General features: G+C 49.5%; 1 annotated feature.

Annotated features, from left to right (window-relative positions):
• Positions 5,265 to 6,093: an enhancer, noted in NCBI's record as "H3K4me1 hESC enhancer chr11:134811107-134811935 (GRCh37/hg19 assembly coordinates)". NCBI's record gives its function as "activates a minimal SCP1, AML or CMV promoter by ChIP-STARR-seq in naive H9 embryonic stem cells {active_cell/tissue: H9 hESC(naive)}" and the evidence as "EXISTENCE:reporter gene assay evidence [ECO:0000049][PMID:30033119]".

Here is a 6,307-nt window from a genome sequence, read left to right as displayed (position 1 = left end):
AGGCAGATCTGCAGAACAGTGGACAGAGTGGGAAGGTGGGAATAGAGCGGCTCCTCCCTGCGGAGGAGGAGGGAAACCCAGGCTGGACCCAGGCAGGGTCTGAACCTCCAGTGAAGACATGAGGGACTGGGGTGGGTACAGCACAGTGCAGGGCCTGCTTGCTTTCCTCTCCTCACACCCTGCTTGTATATTCCATTTTCTTTCAGGACAATGAGCTCCAAGCAAGGATGGTGCAGGAAGAGCTCAGGACGGATCTTGCCACCTCCATCTTAGCCAGAGGGTTTTCCTGAGCTCAGGAGCCAAGCTTCTCAGACCCATTCTTGCACACTGCAAATTTCTAATCCATTGCTAAGGGCCACTAATCCCAAACTGAATTTAGAGAAACAAACAGGAATAGATGCTTTTTAAAATACTTACCAACATTCATATTTCTTCTCTGATTTTGAAAAACATAATTAATAATAAAACACTTGGGATCATGCAGCAAAGATACTTTATGGGAATATTTATTATGCAAATAACTAAATTAATTGCATACATTTGCATCCTATTAAGCATTGAAAAGTAAAGCAGCTTTAATAGAATTAAATCTACTTTTACCAAAATGATCTCATCTGGCAGGAAGAGTTAGGGCAAGATTGGTTTGGATTGAGATTTTCCATCCTGCTTAGGAATTCTAAAGTTCTATAGAATGAAAGTTTTTCTTGATAATAATTTTTAAATCATAAAAATGAAAGAAATGTTATTAGAAGTCCTACGATTTCACCACCAACTTCAATGCCCTAATGTGGCTATCCATACTGCTTTTCCAATATCTTCCAAACGTCGATTATGGATTTATATAAGTTTTTTCTACTAAATTATGTCTTACAGACATTATTGAAACAGTATACTTGCTAAACATCTGTGAATTTTGTGTAAGAGTAAGGTCCCAAGATTTTCTAAAGTTTGAAAGACAGTCATGCTCTGGAGTCACCCTCTGGGCTCGATGCGATGGTGCCCAACGAATACCTCCAGCCTGCTGGGGCTGGAGCTCCTGTCTCAGTCTAACCCTGCCCAGTAAGGAGCTGACTCAGCCCACACTGCTCAGGAGGCCCTGGGGCCCTCTGGGCTTGCAGGTATTCCTGCCCTCAGCTGGGGCCAGCCCAGGCTTCGGTGATGCGGTTTCCTCTTCAGAGGGCACTCTCGGGCCTCTCTCAGGACGTCTCCACCCCACACACGCTGCTGCCCACACCTCCTTTCAGGGAAGGGGCGCAGATACCTCCCATCTTCTTTCCTACACCTCAGCTTTGCTCCCTTCCCCTTTTACTCTGCACACCATGGCAATTTTCACCCCTTTTTGGACAAAAATTTCCTGACAGGACTTAACCTCCCTGGCACTTAAAATCTGAACTCTAACCTATGTTATTTGCAACAGAAAGAAAAGTGCTTTTATCTGTCCTTTCAGGTAAATTATTTATTTATGTTTTTCTTTATAGCGCCACCGTTCAGATTTGCTGGATTTGGAGACAAAATCCAGGTTTGAATTGTGATTCTATTTCTTACTGCTCCGTGGCCTGGGGCAGCCAGGTCAGCTCTCTGAGCCCTGTGGTCTGCATGGCTGAGTGAGAATGCCCACCTCCACTGAGAACCAGCCAGTGAGGTGCCAGCAACCCATCTAACACAGGCAAAGAGGATTTCTTAATGAAAACATTTTGTCTTGCACAAAACAATACTCAATTTAAGAAACAGCAAATGCAGAAAAGGAAAAAGAGGATTAGAAAACTATAGAAAGAGCTCAGTGCATGGCAAGAGTTTAATGAATATTAGTTCTTCCCATTTAGTTTTGCTTTCCAACCCACTAAGCATGCTTCGAAAGACAGAGAAGAAAGAGGGGTTACAGCAAAAGCAGTGATAAGAGTTTCTTGCATCTTCACAGATCAAGCATCTTGGTCTGCAACCAGGTTTGTCTGAACAAAGGGTTAGGAGCCAAAGTTTGGGGTGGTGAAAGCCATGGGGCCCATGTTAGGCTGAGGACAAGTGTGCATATGGGTGGCAGGTGGCTTTGCCCAGAATGAACTGGAGGGTGACGATCCTGGATCTGGCAGTGAAGCGGCAGTGTCTCTGCTCAGCCGGAGCGGGAGGTGTGGAGCCACTTCGTCACACTCTCAGCTGCACGGCTTTGGGCCACAGCCTGTAGACACCGGTGGAATCTGCTCAGAGCTTTGAAGAGAGGATTCCCAGAGCCAAGCTATGGATGGGACTAGGAAGCGAGTGACCAAGAACAGCTGCTCTTCACCTCCACGGGCAGGGTGGGGCGGGGTGGGAGGTGAGCTTTGCCGAAAGCCAGGCTGAAGGTGATGCAATGACCGCACCATGGCCAGGAGCAGAACCACACGTTCTTTTTGGTTTCTGTGTAACTCTTGCCAAATTTACAATAAACCCTGCAAATCTGCTGGAGCCTCTCTCTTTCTTTCCCAACCTTTGCAAGGACCTGTCTTGAAACTCCTTGCCTGATTCCCCGCTTCTTGTTTTTCCCTGTTCCTCCTGCTCCCTTTTTCTTTTCAGCTTTCTCTCCAATCATGTTCCTGTCTATTCTTTTTCTTTTTGCTACCCTGCATGGTGAATATTTGCTATTTTCCTGCTCAGCAGAACCTGCTCTCCCCACTCTCAGCCCGTGAGTGGGTGGGTGGGGCTGACCTTAGCACCTGGTGATGTCACTTGAGAACCTAGTTGGCTGGGCCCAGACTTATTAGGTGGTCAAGTCAATAAATGCCCATTATCATGTTTAAGCTGCTTGTGGCTGGGTTTTCCTGCTTGGCACCAAGAGGCCTGAGTCATTTGCATCCTCGGGACCGGCCCCTGCCCCATCTCCAGCTTACACCTCACCCCATTCCCACCCCTAAACTACAGTCAGGCCGAGGTGCTGACAGGCTGCCCCTGTGCCACGCCACTGCTGCCCCTCAGTAGGTCCCTGCCCTCCTGGCACTTCTTGGTGTCATGGTTTTCTGAGCCACAATGCTGTTCTAATTGTGAGGCAGTGGCATCTGCCTGGCTTCCTCCCCAGCCCCAGCCCCTGCCATGGGGACTCTGCCTGAGCTCTGAGGGCAGGTGGGGCACCCTGCTCCTGGCACAGGCACTATTTCCACCTCTCTTCTTCATTGCTATCCGGCTTTCCCTTGCTTTTATCCCCTCCCCTTCTCCTGCTTCCCACTGGTCAACTCTTCTCCCAGGGCCTCCCAGGGCCTAGGTCTGAGCAGTGGAGACCTCCATGAGCAGGCAGAGGGCAACCAGGCAGGCTCCATCCAGAAGAGAACAGGCCTGGACCAGATGCAGATTCTCCCAGGCTCTGCAGGGCCTGGCAGGGAAACTGCTGCTCCTGAGCTGCCTTCAGGGGAGTCCTCAGAATAAGGGGAGCTATCAACAGGCAGAGCAGTGTTTACGAGGACAGTTATGATCTTGTCACTGTCCTCAAGGAGCTTCAGGTCCAGGAAAGAAAAATGAGCCACCTGTGAAGCAGAATTGTGTAATCACCTGGCGAGCAGGGAGGAGCCCCCCAGACACCACAAAGACAGGGAGCACTGGGAGGGAGAAGCGGGGCCAGGCTGGGGAGACCTGCAGAATGGGGCGGGGCTTCTGGTTTCAATGTTTACTTGCTGAGTGGCCTTGGACAAGTTATTTCATCTGCCTGAGCCTTACTTTCCTCATCTGTAACATGAAAATGCCAAATATACCAGCACCTGGATTGCCACGAGGATGAGGTGATTACAATGCGTATGGTCCTGAAACAGTGGTGTCCCTCTCCCCACCCTGCCATTACCCAACCTCTGGTCTTCAAATCGACCCTATAAGGTAGGTATTTTTACGTTCGCTTTGCAGATGAGAAAACCAAAGCTCTGTGTAATGACACATCCCGGAAATGTGAGGACAGGTTTCAAATCCAGGTGTGTCTGGTCAAACCTGAGCGTTCCCTCCAGCCCTGCTGCCCCCTTTCTGCATGTGATCTTGGCTGGGGTCAGTGTCTGGCAAGCACACTGTCTGGCTGGCTCAGGCCTTTTGCCCCAGCTGTGGCCTTCACCCCCAACTAATTAACTAACTGACAAGCTGTTTATGAAGCTGCACTCCTGGTGACGTTGTTGGTGGCTGTGATAATCATCCTGTTTTTCCACTTATTCAGCCACCTTCTGAAGGGTCCTTTTATGGGACCCTTTTATGGATTATCATTGTTCTGGGCAGTTTATTATGCAAATGAAGCCTCAAAGTGCTCGATGCTGTCTGCTGAAATGTGCTTTATAAGATAATACATTTTTTTCCACAAACCAAAATAAACTAGTGTAAATGACAATGGAACGAGAAAAGCTTTGCTCTTTATAAAAAGGGCCGTGTGAGATTCTTTGAAACTGAACGCCGGCGGAGTCTGACTCTGACCCTGGATGAAGAGATGCTGCTCTTTTAAGCGAGGGATTTCTTTTCGGAAGAGGCTTTGTGAGCATGGAACAGCGAAGCCCGGGATGGGAACCAAGAAAGGTCACCGAAATGTAGACACCCTGGCCTCAGTCTCTGGAGTTCAAAAAGGCTGCGGTCAATTGTTGGAATTTCTTTTCACATGAAGAAATCTACATTCTGTGTAAATAAACCACTTTAAAAATGTGTGTGTTGTCTTAGTTACACAGACATTTCTATAAAAGTACTTGTAATTGTGTCTAAAAGACTGAAACCATTTAAAAAAACACCTTGAAAAATATTTTTCTCTGCCTGGTTCAGTGAACAGTTCCTACAAGCCCCTTTTCTCTCTCTATTGGAAAATAATAATTCCAGATTTTGTGCCAATCCGTCCACTGATCTAAACCGCGGCTCTTCTGTGGGCCGCGCACTCGCGCCCCTCCTCACTCTAGTCCTACGCCCCTGCTGGGAGGGCCGCGCTGCTCCGCCCCCTGGTGGTTGCAACCCTGCCTGTGAGTCATTCTTCTGACTCCGCTGCACCCAGCCTGGTGGTTTACAATAAACTCCTCCATTCTCAGAGGCCAGGGAGGCAGTGGGAGGAGAAGGGGTCTGCACGAAGAAGCCTGGCGAGAGGCTCACATGCTTGTATGTCGTTAGATGGGAAACACACCCCCAAGCTGGGTGAGCAAAGAGTCCGAACCACATGCTGCTCTCTGTGTGTACATGGAGAGTATCCTCAGCTTGGCCAGAACCCTGACCCCACCCCCAGGCCCCAGTGTGGAAGATCCATCCATGGATGATCATGGTCCAAACCAGCTCCTCACTTGAGCTTTCCTTCCCTGCACTCTTGTCAAATTGCACCAGGATTCCCTACGACTCGTTGATGTTTCCCTAGCACTGATTACATGGTCTCCTGGATGGAGAATAGGGTTAGGAAAGTACATCTTTAAGCATGTTCAGGCTAGAAGTCCAGGCCGAAGACATTCATAAAGGGGTCACCAGCAACATAAATAAGCCAAAACAGTACTGGGACTCCGTAAACTGAGAGTGCTCTTTGGATGTAGCTCTGGTTTTCAACAGGTGATGGCCAGGCTGCTGGCAGGCAGCGGCGAAGCTAGCACTCAGGCCTTCTTCCCCACGCCTGAAGCCCCCAAGACCACTTCCAGCCCCCACCTGATCATTACATAGGGGCCTTCTCTCAAATGATGTGCAGGGTGTGGGCAGTGGCATCATTGCCCAGGCCCTTCAGCTGACCTGTCCAGGTTTGGGAAAGGAGGACCGGGATGGCGGTGAGGAGGAGCTCAGGCAGAGTGGTGTTTTTCTTTGCACTTAGCATTGGGTGTGTTTGGCCCAGGAGAGGTGAACGTGGCCAGAGCAGAAATAAAACGAATCAGCAGCGTTACACAGTGCTGGCTGAGATGCTCCACTATCCAGGAAATAAGCAGACTTTGGTCATCAGAGTAGAGACAGCTGCAGAGTGCAGTGAAGGGCTGTTTTCAGGGTTGCAATCAGAACAGAGCAGCTTTCCCCTTACCAAATCCTGGCATCATCTCTGTGTCCATGGCCCCACCCTCCAGGACAGCAGCAGAGAGGGGCCTACACATTCTCCTCCCGTAAGTGCTGGGACATCGGGGTAGGGGACGTGAGATTGCGTATTTTCCTTTTGACACTTTTGTCTATTTGAATACCTCAGGAAGTAACACTATTTTCTCAGTTGAAGGATTGCTCAGAAGTCTAGGACTCCCCTTCACCTCACCTATGCCACCAAATCCCCTGCTGAAATAAAGTTCCAGGCTGTCTTGCCACTGCCTGTGGCCAGCTGCGTCCCTGGTCCCCCCCCCCCCACAGGGTGGCCTCTTTCCCTGCATTTGCATCTCCCGTGTCC

The sequence above is a fragment of the Homo sapiens genome, chromosome 11 (genome assembly GCF_000001405.40).
Source record: "Homo sapiens chromosome 11, GRCh38.p14 Primary Assembly".
NCBI lineage: Eukaryota > Metazoa > Chordata > Mammalia > Primates > Hominidae > Homo > Homo sapiens.
This window is presented reverse-complemented; position numbering and strand designations above follow the sequence as displayed.